Raw genomic sequence first — 27,254 nt, 5'->3', positions numbered from 1 at the left:
TTACATAACAGAAATAACAATATGCAAGTGAATAATAATTCAGTGGCATTTAGTACATTCACAGCCACCACCTCTATCTAGATCCAAAGCATTTTCATCACTCCTAAAGGGAGCCCCCCAGCCCCATAACTGTTATACAGCCACTTCTTCTTCTCCTCTTCCCCAGCCCCTGGCAGCCACTAATTAGCTGTGTTTGTGAATTGCCTATTCTGCATATTTCATATAAATGGAATCATACAAAATACAACCTTTTGTGTCTGTCTTCTCTCACAGTGTTTTCAAGACGCATCATGTTGTAGCATAATCAGTAATTCATTCCTTTTTATTACTAATAGTCCACTGAATGTATAGACCACATTTTGTTTATCCATTTGTCTGATGATGGACGTTTGTATTTGTTTCACCTGTAGTTGTCATGAATAGTTCTGCTACAAACTGTTGTGTACAAATATCATTTGAATACCTGTTTTCAGTTCTTTTGCATTATCTACCTAGGAGTGGAATTGCTAGCTCATAGGGTAATTCTATGTTTAACTTCTTGAGGAACCACCAAGCAATTTTCTATAGCCAGTGGCTGCACCATTTTACATTCCCACCAGCAATTCCAGTTTTTCCACATCTTTGCCAGCGCCTTTTTTGTTGTTGTTAAATGATAACCATTCTAGTGGGTGAGAAGTTTACCTCATTGTGGTTTTGACTGGCACTTCCATAATGATTAGTGTTGTTAACCATCTTTTCATATGCTTGTTGACCATTTGTATATCTTATTTGGAGAAATTTGTGTTCATGTCCTTTGCCTGTTTTTAAATTTTGATGAAGTCCAATTTTTCTGTTTCCTTTTGTTAGTCATGCCTTTGGTGTCATTGTCAAAATCCAAGGTCATGAGCATTTCCCCCAATGTTGTCTTCTATGAAGTGTTTTTTTTGTTGGTTTTTTTTTTTTTTTTTTTGAGATGGAGTCTCACTCTGTCGCTCAGGCTGGAGTGCAGTGGTGTGATCTCGGCTCACTGCAACTTCCACCTCCTGGGTTCAAGCGATTCTCCTGCCTCAGCCTCCTGAGTGGCTGGGATTACAGGCACATGCCACTACACCTGGCTAATTTTTGGATTTTTAGTAGAGATGGGGTTTCGCCATGTTGGCCAGGCTCGTCTCAAACTCTGGGCCTCAAGTGATCCACCTGCCTGGCCTCCCAAAGTGCTGGGATTAAAGGCGTGAGCCACTGTGCCTGGCCTATGAAGTTTTATTCTTCTAGCTCTTTGATTTAGGTCGTTGATCCATTTTGATTTAATTTTTTTCAGGGAATTTTTTAATCCTAGATGCTTACAGTTCTTCATATCCTACTTGAAAGGACCTTCTATCTTCAGTCACTGTATTTTGCTAATTTCTTAAAGAGGAAATAGGTGGTAGTGAGTGGCCGAGTTTCATTTTTCATTTCTGTTCTCCAAAGAACAGAATGGTTCATGTAGGAATCCTTTGCAGCTTCAGTCTGCACCAAGAAAGGCCAAGAGGAAAGAATAGCGAGTGGCTTTTCTCACTCTCAGCCTCAAGACTGAATTTAAACACACTTAGCTTTGTGAGGGCAGGACTTGGTCTTCACATAGTGGAAAGTGTGCACTTGGCTACTTTTTCCTGGGGCAAGGGCTCTGCTTTCCTGCCACTGTGAGCTGTGGGGTCAGACTGCATCCTTAAGCCAGACATTCCACTCTCGCTCCCCTGGAAGACTTTTAGGCGAGGTTCATCCTGGAACTGTTGACTCAGAACAGGTAGAGCTGGAGGAAGAACAAGCGGCCACCCTGCTCCCATGAGCCCTCTTCCTTGGTGGATAGGTTGTGGTTCTCCTGTTTGATGGGGAGGCCGCTGCATCTGACTCTCCAACTCAGTGAAAAGAATCACAGCACAGACCAGCCTCAATTCTTTCTGCACCACTGCTCTGTCGAGTTGATTCAGTACCTGTAGTCCCACATAGTTAAAATCTGCTTAGCTTTGCTCTCTGTTGTGTGGACAATGAAATGGTTGACTAATATAACCCTGGCAGTGTCAGACCTTGTCATGACTGAAATTTGTCCAAATAGATATTGTCATCAAATGTGCTTCTGGTCCTTGCTAGTGAGACTGTAGTTAGGATCCCTGTCCAGGTCTCAAAGGGCACGAGAAACTATGAAGAGGCTTGGCATCCCTGTTCAGAGTACAGCCTCATCTGCCAAATTCTTGGGGTCACTAGAACTGTTTGGGTCCCTGCTGGAAGCTCTTAACACCCCTGAGCAACTCACGTTGGAACTGATGAAAATAGGTCTCCTAAGACCTCCATCTACTGCTAAGTCCATTCTGGAGTCCAGGTGCTACTAGGAGTCTTTTGCCCCTGGGACTGAGATGTTTTTCTGACTTGAATGAGGGAGTGAATGGATGACTGCCCATGCCGCTGTCACTGTAATAAAGGACTAAGAAGACAAGATTTAAGAGGAAGAGATAACCGTAGGACTTACAGGTTTCTTTGTTTTGTTTTTTTAACTTGTGATCTAGTACTAAGAACTAAACGTTAAATAGAATAGCATTTATGAACAGTATCTGGAAAGGAGCCTTCATTAATGATCTCAATAAGAATAAATGAAAGTAAGTTATTTTTCTGCCCCCCAAAATCCCTAAAACATGAATTTGTCTTCCACACATTAGTGCCAGAAAAGGGAATTTGTAGTAAAATGTTTTTCATAGTAGAAAGAAACAGGGATTGTAAGTCGCCCAGCATTGAAGCCATTGCCCCAAGACTGTCTAGTAGGCAGCTCCCTTTGGGCAGTTGTCTGCCTCCTGGAAAGCTTCCTGCCAAAGCTGCCCCTGAGAATCTGAGATGGAGGCGTGGCCGTGTGGTCTGGGTCCCCTGGGCTGCGTGGCAGCAGCATCTCAGGAGTTGAGTCCTCTTTTCTAACCTTGCGCTGCTGCATTGGCTTAGCTACTTAGCTGGCATGGTCAGACAAGGGGAGCACGCCCGTGAGTGTGTCCACATGGGCCGGCGGACTATCAGAAACGCCCTGTTGAACAAATGTGTTCAGGATAGAGGGATGTGACTGTGTATAGCTGATGAGGGGAACATGGGTGGCACTTTTGTTACTTTGCAGTTTGGTTACTTTTGAAGTAATGTGTTCAGCTTAACTTTTTTTTTTTTTTTTTTTTTTTTAAAGATAAAATCTGGCTCTGTTGCCCAGGCTGGAGTGCAGTGGTGTCATCTCAGCTCACTGCAACCTCCGCCTCCCGGGATCAAGCCATTCTTCTGCCTCAGCCTCCCGAGTAGCTGGGACTACAGGCACACGCCACCACACCCGGCTAATTTTTGTATTTTTAGTAGAGATGGGGTTTCACCATGTGGGCCAACCTGGTCTCGAACTCCTGACCTCAGGCAATCCACCTGCCTTGGCCTCCCAAAGTGCTGGGATTACAGGCATGAGCCATTGCACCCGGCCCCGGCTTAACTTTTTATAGACTTCTTTGCTGATGGATGTCTTTGAAAATAAGAGGTAATTTCAGTCACAACTACGAATCTGGATCCAAATAAAACATGTGCTGTGGCCAAACCACAGTATTGCATAGGTTAATCCGGAGTCTTGGCTGCCCTCACTTCCTGTCTCACATGGATCTGTTCTGTTATTTTCTTATGTCATAGGTTTTCATATAACCTATTTTTTTATTTTAATTTTATTTATTTATTTATTTATTTATTTATTTATTTTTTTGAGACGGAGTCTCTCTCTCTTGCCCAGGCTGGAGTGCAGTGGTGTGATCTTGGTTCACTGTAACCTCTGCCTCCTGGGTTCCAGCAATTCTCTTGCTTCAGCCTCCAGAGTAGCTGGGATTACAAGTGTGCGCAACCATGCCTGGCACATTTTTTTGTAGCTTTGTAAAGATGGGGTTTCATCATGTTGAGCAGGCTGGTCTTGAACTCCTGACCTCAGGTGATTCAACTGCCTCGGCTTCCCAGAGTGCTGGGATTACAGGCATGAGCCACCGTGCCCAGCCCCTTTATTCCCTGTTTTCAGAGGTCAGACTTGGGTTTACAGTTGATACTTCAGTTTTAGGTTTTTATCCATTTGTTACATTTTTATCCATTTGTTGAATTAAAAAATTTGTAGCGGGAACATCTTGAATATATTATTGTTCTAAATCAGGGGTGTCCAGTCTTTTGGCTTCCCTGAGCCACATTGGAAGAAGAATTGTCTTGGACCACTCATAAAATACACTAACATGTATAGTCCCAGGGGACCCAGACCACATGGCCACACCTCCATCCCAGATTCTCAGGGCAGCTTTGGCAGGAAGCTTTCCAGGAGGCAGACAATTGCCCAAAGGGAGCTGCCTACTAGGCAGTCTTGGGGCAGTGGCTCCAATGCTGGGCGACTTACAATCCCTGTTTCTTTCTACTATGAAAAATAGTGAGCTAAGAAAAAAAAAATCTCATAATGTTTTAAGAAAGTTTATGAATTTGTGTTGGGCTGCATTCAAAGCTGTCCTGGGCCACATACAGGCTGTGGGTTGGACAAGCTTGTTCTAAATTATGTAGGGCACTTTTATTTTAAAAATTACTTTTCCGAGGCTTTTCTAAATATCAGTTAAACTTTTACTGAGTAGTGCCTGTGTGCAAAAGCAGTATGTCCTTCTCAGTGTGATATGTGAATACATATTGATGTTTCCTTAGCATTGTAATATCATGGAAATTATAAAGGATTCAAAATAATTTTTTGTTTGCATGTGCATTGGGGGGGGTTTCCTCACAGAATTTCCAGAACAAAAATTGTTTGCTGCCCTGTTGATTAAATGTGTTGTGCAGCTGGAACTCATCCAGACTATCGACAACATTGTCTTCTTCCCAGCCACAAGTAAGAAAGAAGATGCAGAAAACTTAGCTGCAGCACAGGTAAGGAGATAGGAGGACAGCTGCTTTTTTTGTGTAAGTAGGAAGTTAGGTATAGCAGTCTGGGCTGTAGAGTTAGGCTAGAGAATTAGTTTGTGGGGCCTTCATCATACAGATGTCCTTTTAAACCATGAGACTGGATCCCATCACAAGGTAATAAGGTTAGCTAGAGCAGGGAGGAGGGTCAGCAACTGATTACTAGGGACCTCATCCTCTACAGCTCCTGGAGATGAGGCAGCTAGCAGAGACTGAAGACGAGAATCCATGAGGCATGGGGAGGCACGGGGAAGCAGGTGTCAGTTGTCGGGGAAGTCAGATGAAGAAAATGTTTTAAGAAGAAGCATGTGATCAGTCGCTTGTTAAATGCTCTGGATAGGTCAAGTGATATTACACCTGAGAATTGCCCTCTAACTGTTTGGACGACTTTGGAACCTTAACAGTGTGTTAAATGTTAAATTGAGGACAAAAGCATAATTATAATGGGGAGAGAGAGAGAGAAGAGAGAATGTGGACTCAGCCAGTACTCTGTTAAGAAGTTTTGCTGTAAAGGCACAGAGAAATGTGATAGCTGGATTGTGAGGGGTTCAAGAGAGGGGTTTGCTATGTTTTGTTCTCCAGATTGGTGATATGGCAGCGTGTTCACTGGTAAGAGCTTTCCAGTAGGGAGAGAAAAACTGACTGTAGGCAAGAGAGGGGCAATTTCTAGGGCCATGTTTTTGAGTGAGTGGAGATAGTACCTCATACAGAGTGGGAATCACCTGGGGTAGAAGCCCAGACAGTTCCCATGTGGCGGCAGGGGGAGGGCTGGGGGATGGGTTGTGGATGCAGGAAGTCTGGTACGTTTGGGGTAGGAGCTTGTGAGAGACCTCCTCTGCCAGCTTCTGGTTTCTCACTGAGATGGGAAGAAAAGTCATCTACCATGTGAGATTTGGAAGAATGTTTTAGCTACTTGAGAAGTGAAAACTTGAGCTGGTTGGCCAGGAGTGTGGCCTAGGCCAAGGTCTGCCAAGGGCTGGGCTAGCACCGAGCCCGCTGGTTTAGAGAGAAACCAGTCTGCTTTCTCCAGTCACACATGATGACATGGCCATTTTGCCAGCCAGTTACTAAAAAGAAGAGGAGGGGTTGTGAAAGAGAATAATTAAAATGATGCATGGACTCCATAGCAGTTGAGAAGAGAAGGGAGGACTTGAGGGGCTGAGGAACGCAGGGCCAGGGAGTTGGGAGTCCAGGAGGGTCTGGACTAATGGGAGGTGGTGCTTGGGGACGAGGATGCGTACTGGAAGGTGGACCTTCCCTTACTTTCTGTTAGGTTAGATCAAGCTGAGTATCTGTGGCTTTCTTGTAAAACTGGTCTTTGGGGAGCATTGAGTTGTAAATCAAGTAAAATTATTGTGACTGTGTGTATATGCTGGGGTGGTTTGTTTTCCAAAGAGAGATGCGGTGGACTTTGATGTTCGCGTTGATACTCAAGACCAAGGAATGTACCGCTTTTTAACATCACAACAACTTTTTAAGCTACTGGACTGCTTATTAGAGTCACATAGATTTGCAAAAGCGTTTAATTCCAACAACGAACAGAGGACTGCCCTGTGGAAAGCAGGTAAGCTGCACACGCCTCACATTTAATGTTTACTGTTGATGGATGTGGGACAGGTACATACAGGTCTCAGAACTCATTGACTGTCTGCTATAGGTCTGTGCATGTCACTATATGTACTCTGACCTTAACAGTAATAAAGTAACCTCACAACGAGGCCCTTTTCTGGTCTACAGTAAGCCAGATAACTGCTTGGGTGGATTTTTTCCCCCTTGGTCTATTATTTGACTTACATTGTTCTTTCATCTTGTTTACCCAACCTGGACCTTCTTGTTGATACTCATTGGCATGACAAAAGCTGTCTTTTCATTAGGAAATAAATATGTGTAAAAGTCGCACACACAAAACCTGGCATGTGTATTTGAATGGCTTCTCTGTTTACTGGGAGTGGCCAGAGCTCAGAGTGAAGGTGAATTTATTGGGATGTGAGGTATATTTGTTCTAGAACAAGTTAGACATTTTAAACAAAAAATAAGCTTTTATTATAAACCAAAGTGACATTGTTAATTTTTTAATTTAAAAAATAGAGCCAGCTGTGGTGACTCACACCTGTAGTTCCGGCTACTCGGGTGGCTGAGGCAGGATGATTGCTTGGGGCCAGAAGTTCGAAACCACCCTGGCCAACATAGCAAGACCCTGTCTCTACAAGAAATTAAAAATTAGCGGGGCATGGTGTCGCATACCTGTAATCCCAGCTACTCGGGAGGCTGAAGTGGGAGGATCACTTGAGCCCAGGAGTTTGAGGCTGCAGTGAGCCATGATCACACTACTCCCCTCCAGCCTGGGCAACACAGTGAGACCCCATCTCTTAAAAAAAGAAAAGAAAAAAGAAAGAAATATAATTATGAGTTGCAAAACAGTGCTGGGAGGATGAGGGGCTGCAGAATAAGGCAGAGAAAAAGAAGGGGCTGATACTTATCAAACTGTATCAAAAGGGTTTGGTGCTTAATGTTTGCTTATTTGAAACAGCTGTGCCATTCTCTTTCCTTTACAACCTAACTTCTGGAAAGAGTAGTCTGTACTTATTTTTCCCCTTTTTTTCTACCCAAGTTTTTGCCACCATTCCACTGGGCCTCTTCCTGCTGAGCTGATAGAGCCTCCTTGTGTCCACACACACCGGACCCATCAGACCTCTGACAGAGCAGTTCTCACCTCCTGGGGGTTGCCCCTGTTTATCTGAGGCCCCTGGCGCAGGCAGAGCACATGGCCCCTTCCACAGCTTTGGGGATTCAAGTGCAGTTTCATGTGAAGGGTTCCACCTTCCCAGGCCACAAGTTTTTTTATATCTCATATCCCCAGCTTGAATAGGGAGGGAATTCTGGACATGGAAATCACCTTCACATCAGGCTGCTGTGGCTCCGTTTTGTAAGCAGCAGATGCTGATGGCTGAGCACAAACAAAATGTGCCTCCATACGGGCTGTTTCACCTTTACATAAGATGCCTTCCCAAACTAATCCCAGAAACTTCCCTTTTCTGCAGGATTCAAAGGCAAATCCAAGCCCAACCTTCTGAAGCAGGAGACCAGCAGCCTGGCCTGTGGGCTGCGCATTCTCTTCCGGATGTACATGGATGAGAGCCGCGTTAGTGCCTGGGAGGAGGTCCAGCAGAGGCTTTTGAAGTAAGACTTTTGACTGATTTCCATCTCTGACCAGGTAGCCACGTGGTGCCGGGCAGGAAAGAGGCACCGGCGGGACCATGCTGACAGCTGAGGCTTTGGGGCCTGGATGCCCCTATTCCACAGAGCAGTTGTAAAAATTAAATTCAGTCTTAGAGATGAGTGTGCTTTAGTGACATGTGGCCAAATCATGTCTAACATGCAGGACAAAGGAGGTTTTCTGTTTTAAAACTGTGAACTATGATATCATTTATAGGCCTTTTTAATGTCATAAGATAGTCCCATTTTTACAGATCATTTGTATAAGTGAAAACTTGCCTGCCTGCATTTACTTCGAAAAAAATATTTGGAGTTTTTCTTAGCGTTACTTTTTTTACTCTTTTACTTTAAGCCAACTAACGTGTAAACTCAGGCTAAGAATGAAACATGCCATTCAGAAAGAATACGGTCATCTGCATTGTATTATCATATCTACTTACGGAATAGATGTTCTGAGGCCAATTAAATACATTTTAGAATTTTAAGGGATCACCTAGTCTCTGTTATCCCATTTGATTGACAAGACTGATTGATTAAGGCCCCACAGGGCCTTGTGATCTAGGGCCTCACAAGGGTCAGTGAAGAGAGGAGTCGCCTCAGATTCCAGTCCAGGTCTCTTGAAACTAAGCTTTGCATGTGCCACCTGCCACACGGCAGCTTTGCATTGAAAGAAACTTAGAAAATTAGGAAAATGTGGGTTTCCTGGTAAGTTACAATGGCTTCTTTTAACATGTTTGGTTTTCTTCCCAATTTGAAAAGCATGTTTATGTTGACACTCCAGCTAATGTAAACAGATGGGATCTAACATGTTCTTGAATAGTTCATATTCACTACTATGTTCATGATTGCTCTTTCTCGGTGAATATGGGGACCAGTAGATACGCAAGTAACATTAAAGGAAACCTTTTCTTTTGCAGTGTCTGCAGTGAAGCACTAAGTTACTTCCTCACTCTAACATCAGAAAGTCATCGAGAAGCCTGGACTAACTTACTGCTTTTGTTTCTAACTAAAGTTCTAAAGATAAGTGATAATAGGGTAAGTATGAGGCTTCGAATCCAGCCCCACATTTCTAGCCCAATTCGCATTGGGATGCGGGGTCCCAGAGCCGCCGTGCAAGAGCTCTCAGAGATGAATCAAGCAGTGCCCAGGCTGCACTGCTGCTTGTGCAAAGCCACCAGTGGCCTTGCTGTATCTTCCTCAGTCCTTGCTTTTCTCCCCCCTTACCCAGCTTTGTTCACTAATTAGCAGTTCTCTAGGGGATTCAGTAGGCGAGGGATCAGAATCCCTTGGGATACCTTGACAAGTTCCCATTATGACCCCAGGAATCTCCCCCTTTGCCCCATTTTGAAAACTGCTGTCCAACCACCTCATGGCCTTGTACTCTGCCTACTACTCAAGACTACATCTGGTTCCTGGGCCTGTGCTCTGGGCTGCAGCTGTTCCTTTGGCATATTTAGTGGTTCCAGGTAACCCAGAGTCCCTAGTGAATGGGCCTCATCTAAGAATTTTAAACCAGTAGAAATAAAGATAAAATACACATATATGACTGTAAATATAAGTGCATATTTAAGGTTTTCAAAAATGTACACTCTATTCTTAGAAAAAAAAATAGCAACTTACAGCTCACACATACAGGCTGCTTTGCTGTGACCCTAGAATAGGTTTAAAAATGCCTAGTGATGTGGCCCACTACTTGAAAGGCCAAGGGCTCTAAATCCCAGCCTCTGTTACTCCACAGCTGGCTTTTTTTTTTTTGGTCATAATATGTCTCACTGCTTCCCTGGATCTGGAGGGGTACAGAAGGGGTAGGAAAGGAGGCTGCAGACTAGAGTTCAGAGATGAAGGAACTACTGTGAAGATACAGCCAAAGTATAGCAATTGAACTGTACATGTGAAACGTATGTAGCTTTGCCTGAAGAACTGTTTAGATTTTATATTGCAGTGTTGGGTAGAATTTTCCCCAAAACTTAAAATTTTTATGTAACAAAAGATAAAATTTCAGTAACCCATAGCTTATAAAATCTCAACTCTAGTTTGTACTCACTTGCCTGCTGCTTATTACCCAGGAAAAACAGTGCTAAATTACTAAAAGTTTGTCAAAGATATACAGACAAATGTTTTTCAAAATAAGGATATGTAAGTGAATAGTGTTTGTATGAAGTGAGTTTTTCTAACACTTCTGTCTCTCAGTTCCACAAACCAGAGTCACTGCCTGCTGTGGACCCTGCTTTCCTGGCTCCTGTGATGGAGCCCCAGAGTAGTTTGACTCTAGGCAGTTTAAGGCTCTGCAGTTTGCAATCACTACTAATGGAGAAATTCATTTTCCCTGCAGTTTAAAGCTCATGCATCATTCTACTACCCTCTCTTATGTGAAATTATGCAATTTGACTTGATTCCTGAACTTCGTGCTGTTCTTAGAAGATTTTTTCTGCGAATCGGAGTAGTTTTTCAGATATCACAACCACCTGAACAGGAACTTGGAATAAACAAGCAATGATGGGAACTTAATATTTTTGTTGGCATTTACATCCCTCTGCTCTTTAAAAGGACGCTGGAGCTGAGGTTTCCTACCTGAAAAATGATTTCTCTGGATTGCAGTGTCTGAGTTACTGGTAAAGATGCTTAGAAGTCTTACTCAAACTTGCAACACTCCAGTCCCTTTTAGTGCTGGTGGATTTTGTGTGTTATATTGGCCTCATGTTGAGCAGAAAGCCTGTTTAAACAGTGTCAGCTCATGCTCACGGGTCCTTCCCTGTCTTCCACGGCAGGAAAAGCCCCACGTTTTTGGCAGGTGTGGAAGTGAAACTTACCCAAAGAACTATAGATGTAAAGATTGAACTTCTACAAGAAGTACAACTCAGGAGAGCTGTATTTTGAAGGATAAAATGTTTATAATTGGGGAGTGGGGAGAGAAGAAGAAATTATTGTTCATGGTAAAAGATATTTAGCAACTATGGTATTCTTATTCTGAAGATTTTTGCACACTCAGGCTATCTGAGATACTGGTAATCATCCTGTGAAAAATGTACAGAGATGCAGGTCTGTAATATAAAAATCTTAAAACATTATATAGTTCTTCCTGCACTGTTTTCTTTATTTTCTTATTCATTTGCTAAATACCCATAATATTTTGTCAAATGCACTAAACATTTGGGTGGAACTTTCTTTTTTATTTTATAGGGATTTTTAGTTTTGCCCTTTTTGGTAGGTGGTGATTTTGAGGCTGTAACATGCCCAGAAGCTGTTGTGGCCGACACTTCAACAATAGGGAAAAAAAGGTAGAAAATATCCCTACTGACAGTAACTACCTGTCACATATTTCTCTTAGGACTTTTAAAGATGAGCCATTAAAATAGAATGATCCTTTATGGACCAAAACTTGAATCACTGCAAAATGAATCCAGATTGCTGTCATTTTCTTTTCTTTTGGGTGGTGGGGCTTGATGTAGATTTTACTCTATGTACAGAATTTAACGTTGAATATATTAAAATAACAAATCTGGCATGGTTTGCGGAGGTTAGATTTACTGGAAATGTATTCATACTGTGAATTGTGCTCTGATGGTTAAAAGACAAGATTGTCAAGCATTCCGTATTAACAGTGGATGTAGAAAATTTTTTCAGATGGACAAAATGTATATGGTACAGATGTAAAGTTTTCTATGTAAAAAATTCTGTACAACTTTCTGTACAATATTGATTCCCATCTGGCATATTCTAATCAGGTTATAGGTCAATAAAGTTTTTGAATTATTTCATCAGTGCAATCAAAACCTGTATAACCCACCCCCATGTTTCATTGATTCTGGTCTATTAAGGCTGAACAACTATGGAAAAGACATTTTCAGCCAGAACTACAAATTCAATATTGTTTGGTTCTGGTATTTTCTTTCCAGCTTCTAGCATTAGATCCTCCTTACACTGTACTTACCATAGGATACTTATTTTTAAGGCAATTTTTAAAATTTTTATTTATCTTTTAGAGACCGGATCTCACTCTGTTGTCCAGGCTGGAGTGCAGTGGTATGAGCACAGCTCACTGTAGCCTCAAACTGGGCTCACGATTCTCACACTCCACCCTCCCCAGTAGTGAGGACTGTAGGCACACACCACTACACTTGCCTAATTAAAAAAAAATTTTTTTTTTTTAGAGATGGGATCTCACTATATTGCCCAGGCTGGTCTCAAACTCTTGGACCTGAAGTGATCCTCCCAACTCAGCCTCACAAAGTGCTGGGATTATAGGCATGAGCCACCATATCCAGCCCAAAAATCTTTTAATATTTTTTGCATATTAATAACCTAGCATCAGGCTACACTACTTGAATGCTGAAAAGAGCTAAAGTTCTCTTCAGCACAGTTTGCAATATTGTGTGTTCGAGGAGTCAGTTGAAGTTGTGTGGTACATGGCATTAAACAAAAAGGGAACGTGTCAATATCATCTAACATGGTTGTGTTAAAGAGGAAAAGTATTCAGTCTTTGCTTTCACACCTCTCTTAGATAATGAACAGTTACTGAACAATGCATTTGTAAGTAAGTGTGCTGTATTTGTTACACCCAAGACAGCTCTAGCTGTGTTCAAGCCCAGCTGGATGCTAGAACTGCGAGCCACTGTGACCTTGCCGTGTGAGGGTAAGTGCTCCACACAACCTGGCAGTTGATTATTTTAATGTTGTAGTATCAGGACTCTTCCCCTAGAAGAGTCAGAGGCTTTCTTCTTACTTTCAGATGACAACAGAACAAATTTTTACGAGTAAAGCAAACAAACAATGGTCCGATTAGAAAATCAAATAAAAATTTACAAGTAGCCAAAACTCAAAATATCAGTAATTTAATTGTGGCAAATTTGTCTGATATTGTCTACCAACCGTTAATTACATCAGAGGAAGTATTATTAGAGAGAGAAGCAGTGCCTGGGGATGTTCTCAGCTGTCATGGTTCTGAGATTCTAATCTGAGTCAGAATGTCACAATTATTTGAATGACTCTTTCCTTTTTTAGAAGTATCACTTACTGAGTGATTAGAAAACTCACATGGACTCACTTATCCAAGGTTCCATGGTGGAAGAAGAAGACTCCAGTCTCTCTGTCCTTGACTCCCGGGTGTCCCCACCTCTATTCAACCTCTAGAAAACTAGTCTAGAAAGCTCCATAGTAGTTAAAAAGATTTTAGTAATTAAAATAAAAATTTATTTATATCAAGAAGTAGTTACATCATGTAATTAGTAACAAGACAAATGCCTTCATTGGCATAAAAATAGAAGCAGAAAGATGATGTAACAAACATTTAACGTATGGCTTACAAAAATACAAGTAATTACAGTTCCCTTCATTTCTGCTGTATCAGTAGCTACAAATGACATGAAATAATAATTAATTAATAGGACATTTGATTGCATCACACAGAAACTGGAATAATCACAGCTACAATAGATGTACCTACTAAATGAATTCTTTTGCATCGAGGTAACAATGGAAAATGTGCATGTAACAAAGGGGAGTCCGGTTTTACAGGACGTTTAAGACACTTATTCACCTTATCTTAATGACAAGCAGAATTCAATATAATGCACATATAGTAGTTCAATCCAGTTCATTACCACCCTAATTTATGACAAAACTGTGCAAAAATAATCTATACAATTCTATTATATAAATCAATAATCATGGCCTTTTATTTATGTACATAATATACATCATGATAAAAATAATTTTATATACAGATGATGGAAAAAAAGTAACTTTCAGGTAGGGGCCAAAAGTAGGACATATTAAAGGTACAGATTTACCATTCCTTTCACCTTAAAAGGCACTACTGGGTCCAGTACAGGTTTATTTTAACCATGTGCAGTCGACAGGCCCTGCCAAGTGAAAGTGCCTGGTTTTCCAGGAATCTGCTGCTGCTCCTGGTTCAGCTGCTCTGCCATGAAACGTTTCAGCGTTTCTGAAGTGCCAGGGCGGAGCCAGGGCTCAGTTGCTACAGAGTTTGATCCGTCATCCCCTATGTGTTTCATGATGTCATCAGGGTCAACCAGTGAACTCTCATCATCTACAGGAGGCAAGGGACACGTGGCTCAGGTAACACAGGTGGCAGGCAGGAGACATAAGCGCAGGTCTCTTGTAGTCCAACTCATTACAACTCAGCATTTCCCCACAGTCTCATATCCTGAACTCTACTGTTTGTTTGTTTTGGTTAGACTCACCCCACCCCACCCTATTTTAGAGGGAGGAGAGTGGGCCCACAAAGGCCAATTTTGTAAAACAAAAAATGATCAACTGAGTAAGCTGACTCCATGGCACTAGCAACCAGAGGGATTCTAAGCATATCAAAGGCACCTCTCCATAAAACAAAGTCAACAGGAGGAATGTAGGTAGTCTTATTTTGTAACTGTTACCTCAGGAGAAGCCTAATGGCTACACATAAAATTTCTTTCTTTTTTCTTTTTATTTTTTTTAAAGCAAGGTTTGGGGAATACTCTTCAACCTACAACACTGCTATAAGGAAATTATTAAGTTATTTTGGGAAAACACTAGTTGGCATGAGATTACTTCCATTCTTAAAACACCTAATCTAACAAGGCCGTGTCCAGTCAATGAAGAGGTAGCTCTTGCTTCATTCTTTAATTGAATCTGATTGATTGTACGCAACTTCTATCTGTATTTTACTTTTATTTATTATTAGGTATAATAATAGGAAAATCTGTCTTCCTACCCTGTGATATCATATTCTTTTTTTTTTTTTTAATTCTCCTGGTCTGTGAAGGATTGGTATGTGCAGTCAATCCACATAATAACAAAAAGCTCCTGTTTGAAAGGACAATGTTAAAAAACAGTGTAGACATTAAAAACCTTCTGAAAAAGATTCTTAAAATGCTATCTTCCCTCAAATATATTCCTGTTAAATATTAATTCAGTTTGTTGGGTCTAAAAGAAAATGCCTTATAGCTGGAAAGACATCCTTTCCTACTGTCCCATCAATTAACCATGTCTGCTTTGTGTTTGGTGTGGAATTACCACCATTAGAACACACCACACCTTGACTGCTAGATAGATAGTATATGAGTACAGTTTTAAATTAACACAGTATTAAAGGTAGGATCTAAAAAAATCTTAACAGATTATTGTAATGTAGATTAACAGACTAAAGAGTATTTCCCAAATAGACCACTCCAGTAATTTGCTAAAACTATTATTATTACCAATATGAAAGTGTCCCATTATCCCGGTGACTAATAGCACTGGTATAGAAAAGGGTGGTGTAGGGCTGGCAGGGTAGCTTGTTAGGTGTCTAAGGAACCATCCTGCCTTGTGCTCTATGACTAGCTTTAACCTGCAAGTCACAAAAATGCACTCATAATGAGGAGACGACTAGCTTTATTTGACTTCTGAGACTTTGTCCATGGTGTGGAAAGCCAAAGAAGAAGGTAAAAATTTTCTTTGTAGTACTGCAAATATACAGCATAAGTGTTAAAGAACTCAAAGTCTTTAGGCTAATTTCTAATAATGTTTTACTTTAGTAAAGTGATTACTATTATCATATAGCATTTTCTTTGCTGAAAGCAAAGCCTGGATATGTTTAATAAGCAAAAACTATTTTACCTGTTTAGACTCCACTCTAAAATGGGCACCCTCTCTGATAGAGAAAATCTGATGCAAACTGCATCCTGAGGTCTGGTTTTGCTCAATAGTTACTATGTCTTGGGCCATACAACTCAAAGGTCTTCAAACTCATTCCATCTATCCCTCAGACGTTAGTGAAAGCCTTGAGTAAGAAAGTTTAAAAGTTCATACAGGATTCTACTATAGGCCATTACACTTGGTCATTTACCTGTATTAATAGGTTTATTGTGAAATTCATTCAGTCTTCGCATTCGTTCCTCATTTCTCACTCTAAGCTCATCAACATTTACACTGGATATAGATTTTAGAGAGAGACCATCTGGTGCTACATTAGGACGACTGCTATCCTGTAGTTAGAAAACAGAACTTCAGAAAGTCATTAACACAAAATATGTTCACAAATCAGTGAATCAGGGCCAGGCATGGTGCCTATCACCTGTGATCCCAGCACTTTGGGAAGCCGAGGTGGGCAGATCACCTGAAGTCAGGAGTTCAAGACCAGCCTGGCAAACATGGTGAAACCCCATCTCTACTAAAAATACAAATTAGCTGGGCATGGTGGCAGGCGCCTGTAGTCCCCGGCTACTTGGGTGGCTGAGGCAGGAGGTGGAGGCTGCAGTGAGCTGAGATTGTGCCACTGGACTCCAGCCTGGGAGACAGAGACTCTATCTCAAAAAAAAAGAAAAAAACCAGCAAATCAAAACATCCTCTTGCCCTCAAATGTACACTGTGATGAACAAAATAAAACATGAAAATATAGAGCACGTATATTATGGCTCCTATGCTTATCCATGCAAGCTCAGATGACTCTCAAGGATAAGGAGTAACATTTGTGATGACAGAAATGCTGCCAGTCAGGATAAAGCTTGAGAATTATAGGACACAAAAGGAAAAAACTGAAGCAGCAGGGGCTTAGTCCAGCTATAATCAAGACAGTGTGGTACTGACATAAGAAAAGACATGTAGATCAATGGAAGATTAAGAAGAATATAGAAATAAATCCTTACGTTTATGGACGGAGTTAACAAAATGCAGTGGGAGAACAGTCTTTAAACAAATGCTGCTAGAACAACTGGATGGCCACATGCAAAAGAATGGACTTGGACCCCTGCACCTCACACCCTGTGCAAAAATTAAAGTGTATCATGGACCTACAATTAAGAACAAACTGAAAGAAAACAAGTAAATCTTCATGATCTTGTGGTTGGCAATGGTTTCTTAATTAAGACACCAAAAGCCCAAGAAAGAGTGATGAGTTGGACCTCATCAAAATTAAAAACTTCTGTGCTTCAAAGAACACCATCAAGAAAGTTAAAAAGATACAGAATGGGAAAAAAGATCTGAAAATCACACATTGATAACTAGACTTGTAGTGAGAATGTAAAAGAACTCTTACAACTCAATAAAAAGACAATTCAATTTGAAAATGGACAAAGGGCTGGGCGCGGTGGCTCATGCCTGTAATCCTAGCACTCTGGGAGGCCGAGGCAGGTGGATCACCCGAGGTTAGGAGTTCAAGACCAGCCTGGCCAACATGGCGAAACCCCAACTCTACTAAAAATACAAAACTTAGCCAGGCGTGTTGGCATGCACCTGTAATCCCAGCTACTTGGGAGGCTGAGGCAGGAGAATCCCTTGAACCCCACTGGGGCAGAGGGTGCAGTGCACTGAGATCACGCCACTGCAATCCAGCCTAGGTGACAGAGCAGGACTCTGTATCAAAAAAAAAAAACAAAAAAAAAAACAAATCAGCAAAGGATTTGAATAGACATATCTCCTAAGAAAATATACAACTGGCTAATAAACCATGAAAAGATGTTCAATATCATTACAGAAATGCAACTCAAAACCACCATGACACCACTTTACACTCAATAGATGGCTAAAATCAAAAGACACTAAGTGATGGCCAGGATATACAGAAATTACAACCCTCAGTGGATGATGGGAAGGTAAAATGGTACAGCCACTTTGGAAAAGTCTGGTACTTCCTCAAAATGCTAAATACAAAGTGTCCATATAACCCAACAATTTCCTTCTAGGTATATATATTCGAGAGTAATAAAAACATCAGAAACTTCTACATGAACATTAATAGTATCCATACTAGCTAAAAAGTGAAAACAACCCAAATATCTATTGTTAAATGGATAAACAAAATGTGGGATACTAATACAGTGGAAAATTATTCAACACTAAAGAGGCTTCAGTACTGGCACATGCTACAACATGAATGACCTTCAAAAGAAAGACAAATCCAGTCACAAATAATCATACAGTGTATGATCTCATTTATACGAAATGTCCAGAAAAGGCACATCTATAGAAACCAAAGTAGACTGGTGGTTGCCTAAGGCAAAAAGCAAAGCTATTTTCACCTGGTAATGCTGTACATATAATAACGCTAATAGCAACATCTGTTACTTGGTGAGGTCTCTGCATACTTGGCTCAGTGCTAAATGCTTCACATATAACTGCATCTTCACGTCATATATAAGGAAACACACACAGAGTTTAAGAAATTGCCCAAGCTGCCTACTCAACAAGGAGGTGACATTGCTGGGACATAAACTCCAAAGCCTCTACTTTTTACTGGCTATATTGTAAAGCTGGGGAGCAGAGTGAGGAGAACATGGGTTTGAATCTCAGCCTTCTTGCCCATGTGACCTTGGCAAGTCATTTGACCGAAATGAAGGTGATGCCTATATCACAGAATTAGGTTATTATGAAGCTTTTCAATAAATGACATCAGTTCCTTCTTGTGCCTCTCTGAAATCCATATATTCTGCAGGAGAAGAAGGAAGGTTGGGATGAGGAGCTACTTACAGCCACCCCAGGAGACAAGAAAATACTATTATTATCTGGAAGAAGCCAAAGCAGCAGAATTCAATAGCTACCCAAGGTCATCCAGTCAAGGCAGAGCCTAGATTCAGACCCATGTCTGAATTTCAAGCAAGTGCTCTTTATTGGGCCACACAGATTTAGCACAGGTCAGAACCCAGACCTCTCATTCTTCTAAGTTGAAAAGGGGGAGAAAAGTCTCATACATACAATGTCTAGTCCTTTCCATTTGTTCCTCCTGCGCTCCCGTGCAGAGGGCAACTGTGATGGTGGAGGGAGGACGTCATCTTCAATGGCAGGATATGTCTCACCGTAAGCCCCTAAGAGGACCCCGAAAAGCAGAAGGAGTCTTAATACTGCTTCAAATCTTACCCAGAGCTAAACCAAGAGCCTTTTAATTACTAAGATTTTGCTTACAATACCATGAAACACACTCAATGTATGTACATACACAGTTCGGTGATTTTTTTAGTAAATTTACAGAGTTGTACAATCATCACTTTAAAGTAGAACATTTTCATCACCTTAAACAGCTCCTTTGTGCACACTGGCAATCACTCCCCACCTGCTGGCCCCGGGCAAACACGGCTCTGTTTCAACAGATTTACCTTACCTAACACCAAACATAAATGGAATTCTACAACTTAATCTTTTGTCTTTTCACTTAGCAATAAGGTGTTTGAGATTCATCTATGCTGTGCCATGTTTAAGTTGTTTATTACATTTTACTGCTGAATAATACTCCATCATATGGATACGTCATATTTTGTCTATGCATTTACCAGTAGATGGACATTTGCTAGCTGCTAGCAATTATGAATAACACTGCTATGAACATTCACATTCAAGTTTTTGTGTGTGGACATATCTTCTCATTTCTTTGGGTTATAGAACCAGAAATGAAATTGCTGGGTATTATGGTTAACTCTACTCTGCATTTTGAGGAACTACCAACCTGTTTACATTTTACATTGTAAGAGGGTTCCAATTTCCCCACATCCTCACCAACACTTGGTATTGTCGGTCTTTTTGCTTATAATCATTCTAGTGGATCGGTAGCTAATTTGACATGGACAAATAGCCTACAACATCTACGGTAACCTCCGCAACTCCTTTGAAAAAAATTATACCTAAAGAAAAGTTAGAATAATACAAATACTTAGAATCACCATTAGTTACTTTGCCAATTTCTATATATATTTGGGGGGATGATGTTATTGCCAAGCCTCTTTGCTACACCAATAAGTTGGTGACATCATGGCATTTTGTCTCTCAATATTTCAGTGTTTATCCTCATAAGAACAAGGACTGGCTCCTACACTGCAAAAATCTAATTATAACATTCAGAAAATTTAACATTTATACAACACTATCATTGTTTAACATATAATTGATATTCAGATTTTCCAAATGTATACTGTATGGGTTTTTAAAAATAGGAATAACTTTTATTGAATAAGATATGGGGCTTTCTATAATTCTAAAATAAGTTTTGGGTCCTTCCATGCCTTTTCATGGTTTAGTAGCTCATTTTGTTTTAGTGCTGAAAAATATTGCATTGTCTGGATGTACCACACTTTATCCATTCACCTACTGAAAGACATCTTGGCTGCTTCCAAGTTTTAGCAATTATGAATAAAGGTGCTATAAGTATCTGTGTGCCAGTTTCTTTATGGACAAGTTTTCAGCTCCCTTAGGCAAATACCAAGGAGTGTATACGCTGAACTGTATGGTAAGAATATGCTTATTTTTGTAAGAAGCTGCCATACTGTCTTCCAAAATTGACTACAATTTTGCATGCCCACCAGCAATGAATGAGAGTTCCTATTGCTCCATAACCTTGCCAGCATTTGGTGTCAGTGTTTTGAATGCTGGCCATTCTAGCAGGTATGTGGTGGTATCTCATTTTAATTTACATTCTTTAATGTGTTACCAGGCGGGTCCTTGTTCTTAGAACTCCCAAGATGGTGGAGGGCCGCTTCCAAGATGGCGGCAAGCCTCTTGTTCTCTGACCTGGGGTTCTTGGCCTCACAGATTCCAAGGAATGGAATCTTGGGCCATGCGGTGAATGTTAAAGCTCTATTAGAAGCCGTGGGTCACAGAAGAGAACCGTGGAACCCAGTGACTAGTGTTCAGCTCGATTAGGACAAACCCGGGCACTTAGCCGTGCAGGAACAATGGCAAGCCTTTAGCCTGATTGGGAGCAGCAGTGGGTGCCACCCCGCTGGATCAGAAGTGTAGAGGACATCCTGCCAGATCCGGAGGGGTGGAAGTCAGTGGCAGGTCTGCAACGGCGGCAAACAGCACTGGTGGACAGCAAGCGAAAGCTCAGCTCGAGCCGTAACAAACATGGACCAGAAGAGCATGCAGTTCCAAGATTTAATAGAATGAAAATAGAGTTCCCATACAATGGGAGGGGACCCAAAACGGGTTGCCACTCCCAGCTCAAATGCCTGGGGTTTATATCCCGATCATTGTCCCTCCCCCTGTGCTCTCAGGCGATATATGATTTCACTATTTCTTTACCTCCTGCTTTAGCCTAATTTGTATTTTAGTGAGCCCTCTTTACTACCTGATTGGTTGGGTGTGAGCTGAGTTACAAGCCCTGTGTTTAAAGGTGGGTGCAGTCACCTTCCCAGCTAGGCTTAGGAATTCTTAGTCGGCCTAGATTTGAAATCCAGCTAGTCCTGTCTCTCAGTAGCATCCTTTGTCTTGTTATCTGTATGGTGATGTGTGGTGCAAGTCTTGCTGAATCTTTTAATCAGGTATTTTGTTTTCTTATTGTTGAGTTTTAAGATTTCTTTGTGTATTTTGGATAACAGTCCTTTATCTGACATGTCTTTTGCAAATAATTTCTTACAGTCTCTGTCCTGTCTTCTCATTCTCTTAATTAACAGTGTCTTTTATAGAGCAGAGCAGGTTTTAAATTTTTACAAAGTCCGGCTTATCAATTATTTCTTTTATGAATTGTGCCTTTGGTTTTGTATCTAAAAGTCATCACCATACCCAAGGTCATCTAGATTTTCTGTTGTTATCATCTATGAGTTTTACAATTTAGCATTTTACATTTAGATGTAAGATCGACTTTGAGTTAATTTTTGTGAAGGGCGTAAGATCTATGTTTATTTTTTCACATGCAGATGTCCTGTTGTCCCAGCATTATTTGTAGAGAAGACTATCTTTTCTCCATCATAATACTGCCTTTGGTCCTTTGTCAGTACTGCCTTTGGTCCTCTGTCAGAGATCAGCTGACTGTATTTGCGTGAGTCTATTTCTTTCTTTTTTTGAGACAAGGTCTTTCTTTGTTGCCCAGGCTGGAGTTTAGTGGCGTGATCATAGCTCACGGCAGCCTTGAACTTCCAGGCTCAAGTAATCCTCCCACCTCAGCCTCCCAAATAGCTAGGACTTCAGGTGTGTGCCACCACATCGGCTAATTTAAAATATTTTTTTTGTAGAGACAAGGTGTTGTTTTGTTGCCCAGGCTGGTCTCAAACTCCTGGCCTCAAGTAGCCTCCCAAAGTTCCAGAACTACAGGTGTGAGCCACTGTGCCCAGGCTGCATGAGTCTATTTCTGGGCTCCATATTCCATTCAACTGGTCTATTTGTCTGTTCTTTCACCAATGCCACACTGTCTTGTTTATTATAACTTTATCATAACTCTTGAAGTCAGCTGTGAGAGTCCTCCAACTCTTCTCTTTAAACATTGTGCTGGCTATTCTGGATCTTTTGCCTTTCCAAATGAACTTTAGAATCAGTTTGTTGTTATCCACATAATAACTTGCTGGGATTTTTATTGGGATTGTACTGAATCTATAGATCAAGTTGAGAAGACCTGACATCTTGACAATACTGAGTCATCCTGTGCATGGTCATGAAATATATCTCCATTTATTTAGTAGTCCTTCAATTTCATCAGTTTTGTAGTTTTCCTCAGGCAGTTCTAGATAGATAGATTAGATAGATAGATAGATAGATAGATAGATAGATAGATAGATAGATGATAGATAGATTTATACCTCAGTATTCCTTGGGGGAATGCTAATGTAAGTGGTATTGTGTTTTTAATTTTTAATTTCAAATTTCACTTGTACATTGCTGGCATATTGTAAAGTGACTGACTTTTATATATTCATCTTGTATCCCACAACTTGATTATAACTGCTTACTAGTTCCAGGCATTTTTTAGTTGATTCCTTCAGATTTTCTATAGACAATCATGTCATCTGTGAAGAAAAACAATTCTATTTCTCCCTTTCCAATCACACCTTTTATTTCCTTTTCTGCCTTACTGCTAATATTAAGCTAGGACTTCCAGTATGATGTTAATCAGTGGTGAGAAAGGACATCCTGATCTTAGCAGGAAAGCTTCTAGTTTCTCATCATTATGATGTTAGCTGTAGGACTTTTGTAGATGTTCTTTATCAAGTTGCAGAAGTTCCCCCTCTATTCCAAGTTTGCTGAGTTACCATAAATGGGTGGTAGACTTTAGGTTATCAGATTTGTGGGCATAGAGTTGTTCATGGTATTCTTGGACTTTTTTTTTTTTTTTTTAATTTAAAACAGTGAGGTTTATTTCACATGTATATTTTTGTCTCCCCACCATTTCCATGTCTGACCACCACTACTACTATGGCCTATCATAACATTCCATACATATTTAAAACCAAGCAAAGGGTGGAGTTGCATCTTTAAAAACTAAACAGGTATTTTGGACAACACATTCTTGGCAATGGAACCTGGACAACATTTATCAAACACAGTAGGGAAAGTTCTCACTCTGCATTATAAAAAGGACAGCCAGATATCAACTGTTACAGAAATGAAATGATGGAAAATTTTTAACAAATTGTTTAAACTATTTTCCTAAAGAGACTTCCTCCACTGCCAGAGATCTTGAATAGCCTCCTGATCAATCATCCAGAAGCAATTCTTCACATAATTAATGAACTTGGCTTCTACTTTGGGAAGAGAACCACCTTTTCCTATACTTGCTTGCATTTTTGCTTTAAGTGCAAAGGACCTACAGAACTAGGTCCTTTTGGTGTTTTAGGAGTTTTTTCCTGTTTTTTTGAAGGATTCTTGTCCTTTTGATCTTGGTGTTGATGATGCTTTTGAGTCTTTTCCATTCTGATTTGACTTTTATGCATTTCTGGCTGGAGTATCTTGTATAGATTTCTTCACTGGTGCTTTTTCTTCAGCTTCCTCATCATCAAACTCATCATCATCATCTTCATCATCTTCAGCAGCAGCAAGTTTTACTTTTTTCTTTGGAACCTTGCTACCACCTCCAGGGGTAGACTGCTTTCCAGATATACTTCAAGAGTTTCACATCCTCCTCTTCATCTTCTGACTCTGCATCTTCCTCCACAGCTACTAATTGCTGTCAACTAATATGCACTGGCCCTGAAGCACACATCAACCGACAGACCACTGGTGATGTTATTTCAAAGCCCCCAAGGGAAACCATTGGCTGTACATTTTCAAAGTTGCCAGTGTTACTTTAATTGGACTGCCTTTGTAATTCATTGCCTCTGCTTCAATAATGTGCAATTCATCCTTTGCACCAGCACCAGCCCCTAAACTGAACGTTCTTTAAGATAACTGGTGCTCATTTTCATCATTATCCATCTTAAAGTGATAATCTTTGTCGGCCTTTAGTTCACAACCGAAAAGATAGTTCTGGGGCCTCAGGGCTCATCAAATCTTCCATTGGCTGGTGGCATGCACTTAGGTGGGAAAGAAGGTGGACGGAGATAAACAACCACTTCTCAAGAGAACAGCCATGCAGAACGGAATCACACCAGGCTCTTGGACTATGTTGTGTTTTTTGTTTGTTTGTTTGTTTGTTTTTGTTTTTTTTTTTTTGAGACGGAGTCTTGCTCTGTCGCCCAGGCTGGAGTGCAGTGGTGCGATCTCAGCTCACTGCAAGCTCCGCCTCCCGGGTTCACGCCATTCTCCTGCCTCAGCCTCCCGAGCAGCTGGGACTTATAGGTGCCCACCACCTTTTTTTTTTTTTTTTTTTTTTTGTATTTTTAGTAGAGACATGATTTCACCGTGTTAGCCAGGATGGTCTCAATCTCCTGACCTTGTGATCCGCCCTCCTCGGCCTCCCAAAGTGCTGGGATTACAGGCTTGAGCCACCGTGCCCGGCCGACTGTTTTTAACGTTCATGGGACCTGTAGTGATATGCCCCCCAACCTTTATTATTATTATTATTATTATTATATTTTTTTATTATTATTTTTTTAGACAGAATCTCACTCTGTCATGCAGGCTGGAGTGCAGTGGCACGATTTCAGCTCACTGTAACCTCCACCTCCTGGTTCAAGTGATTCTCCTGCCTCAGCCTCCCAGATAGCTGGGACTACAGGCACACACCACCATGCCCAGCTAATCTTTATATTTTTAGTAGAGATGTTGACCAGGCTGGTCTTGAACTCCTGACTTCAGGTGATCCGCCCACCTCAGCCTCCCAAAGTACTGGGATTACAGGTGTGAGCCACCATGCCCAGCTAGATATGCCCTGTTTCTGGTATTAGTAATTTGTGTCTTCTCTTTTATTAGCTTGGCTAGAGGCTTACTGATCTTCTCAGAAATAACTCTTGGTTTCATTGATTTTCTCTATTTATTTCCTGTTTTCAATTTCATTGATTTCTGCTCCAATTTTTATTTCTCTTCTTCTGCTTACTTTGGATTTAATTATTTTCTAATTTTCTTATGTGGAAGCTTAGAATACTGATTTTAGATCTTTCTACTTTCTTCATGTATGCACAGTCAATCCTATAAATTTAAGCACCTTAAAAATTTACCAATTTTTGGCCGGGCGCAGTGGCTCACGCCTATAATCCCAGCACTTTGGGAGGCCAAGGCCGGGGGATCACCTGAGGTCAGGAGTTCGAGACCAGCCTGGCCAACACGGTGAAACCCCGTCTCTACTAAAAATACAAAAATTAGCCAGGCGTGGTGGCAGGCGCCTGTAATCCCAACTACTTGGGAGACTGAGTCAGGAGAATCGCTTGAACCCGGGAGGCGGAGGTTGCAGTGAGCCAAGATCACGCCATCACGCTCCAGCCTGGGGACAACAGCAAGACTTTGTCTAAAAAAAAAAAAAAAAAAAAAAAAAAAATTCCCAATTTTTTACATAGTCTGGCTTATCAATTATTTCTTTCATAAATTGTGGCTTTGGTTTTTTATCTAAAAGTCATCACCATATCCAAGGTCGTCTAGATTTTCTGTTGGTATCTTCTGTGAGTTTTAGAGTTTGGCATTTTACATTTAACTGAATGCATACATTAGGAAAGTAGAAAGAAAGACAAGCATTATTTCTGCTACCTCCTACAAATTGAGAAGTTGTATTTTCATTTTCATTTAGATCAAAGTATTTTAAAATGTATTTTCATATTTTTTCTCTGACCTATGCGTTATTTAGAAATGTGGCATTTAATCTCCAAAGTATTTGGAGATTTTTCCAGCTATCTTTCTGTTATTGATTTCTAGTTTATTTCCATTGTGGTCTGGGGACAGATATTGTGTGATTTATCTTCTTTTACATCTGTTAAGGTTTGTTTTCTTGCCCAGATTGTAATCTGTCCTGGTGAATGTTCCATGTGACCCTGAGAAGAATATGGGTTCTGCTGTTGTTAATGAAGTTGTCTTTCGACATCCATTATATCCAGTTGGTTGATGGTGTTGCTGAACTCAACTACGTCCTTACTGATTTTCTGTCTCTGTCCATTTCTGATAGAGAGGTGTTAAAAATCTCCAACTGTAACAGTGGATTCATCTATTTCTCCTTGCCATTCTTTTGCTTTCTGACATGTATTTTGACACTCTGTGGTTAGGCATCTAAACATTAAGAGCTAAACCTATAGATAAAACTCTTAGAAGCAAGCATATGAGGAAAGCTTCATGGTATTGGATTTGGCAACGATGTCTTAGATGTGACACCAAAAGCACAGGCAACAAAAGAAAAGATAAATTGGACTGTATCAAAATTAAAAGCTCCTATGTATCAAAGGACACAATCAACACAGTGAAAAGGCAACCCACTATGCAGAAAACATTTGCAAATCATGTATCTGATAAGGGGTAATATCCAGAATAGATAATAAAGAACTCCCACAACTCAATAACAAAAAAACTCTGATTTTAAAAATTAGCAAAGGTCTTAAATAGGTATTTCTTCAAAAATGATGTACAATTAGTCAATAAGCACATGTAAAGATGTCCAACATCACTAATTATTACAGAAATGTAAGTCAAAACCACAATGAGATGCCACGTCACACCCGTAAGGATTGCTACTATTCAAAAAACAAAGTAACAAGTGTTAAGGATGTAGAGAAATCGGAACTTTTGTGCACTGCTGGTAGGAATGTAAAATGGTACAGCTGCTGTGGAAAACAATGTGGTGAGTCTTCAAATAATTAAAAATAGAATTACTATATGATCTAGCAAATGCTATCTCTTAGTGTATACCCAAAAGAACTGAAAGCAGTGACTCCAACAGATAATTGTACACCTATTCATAGGAGCATTATTCACAACAGCCAAAAGGTGGAAGCAACTCAAGTGTCTACTGACAGATGATTGGATAAACAAAACGTGGTACACACATACAATGGAATATTATTCACAGCATAAAA

General features: G+C 40.6%; 2 protein-coding genes and 1 pseudogene across 51 annotated transcripts in view; 1 reads left to right on the top strand and 2 right to left on the bottom strand.

Annotated features, from left to right (window-relative positions):
* The window catches only part of ARFGEF1 (ARF guanine nucleotide exchange factor 1), a 170,271-nt gene that overhangs the window by 134,203 nt on the left and 8,814 nt on the right, over window positions 1-27,254 (top strand). For 9 of the 16 annotated variants that reach the window (NM_001413185.1, NM_001413184.1, NM_001413188.1 and 6 more), the window contains 5 exons: window positions 4,760-4,899; window positions 6,328-6,496; window positions 7,974-8,112; window positions 9,066-9,183; window positions 10,481-11,921. In NM_001413185.1, coding sequence (NP_001400114.1) covers window positions 4,760-4,899; window positions 6,328-6,496; window positions 7,974-8,112; window positions 9,066-9,183; window positions 10,481-10,645 — 731 coding nt within the window. In that variant the 3' untranslated portion in view covers window positions 10,646-11,921. Of the gene's footprint in view, window positions 1-4,759; window positions 4,900-6,327; window positions 6,497-7,973; window positions 8,113-9,065; window positions 9,690-10,480; window positions 11,922-27,254 lie in introns of those variants that run through there. The other 7 variants (NM_001413192.1, NM_001413191.1, NM_001413186.1 and 4 more) reach the window with 4 other exon arrangements.
* CSPP1 (centrosome and spindle pole associated protein 1) overlaps window positions 12,965-27,254 on the bottom strand; it is a 132,247-nt gene continuing 117,957 nt past the window's right edge. For 29 of the 35 annotated variants that reach the window (XM_011517598.3, XM_047422245.1, XM_005251305.5 and 26 more), the window contains 3 exons: window positions 18,820-18,929; window positions 15,977-16,115; window positions 12,965-14,197 (listed from right to left, as the gene is read on the bottom strand). In XM_011517598.3, coding sequence (XP_011515900.2) covers window positions 13,986-14,197; window positions 15,977-16,115; window positions 18,820-18,929 — 461 coding nt within the window. In that variant the 3' untranslated portion in view covers window positions 12,965-13,985. Of the gene's footprint in view, window positions 14,198-15,971; window positions 16,116-16,386; window positions 16,891-18,819; window positions 18,930-27,254 lie in introns of those variants that run through there. The other 6 variants (XM_047422253.1, XM_047422257.1, XM_047422254.1 and 3 more) reach the window with 3 other exon arrangements.
* NPM1P44 (nucleophosmin 1 pseudogene 44) lies at window positions 23,178-24,335 on the bottom strand (annotated as a pseudogene).

Source organism: Homo sapiens, chromosome 8 (assembly GCF_000001405.40).
Source record: "Homo sapiens chromosome 8, GRCh38.p14 Primary Assembly".
NCBI classification, from domain to species: Eukaryota; Metazoa; Chordata; class Mammalia; order Primates; family Hominidae; genus Homo; species Homo sapiens.
The sequence above is the reverse complement of the archived record's forward strand: the minus strand, read 5'-3'. Positions and strand labels throughout refer to the sequence as shown.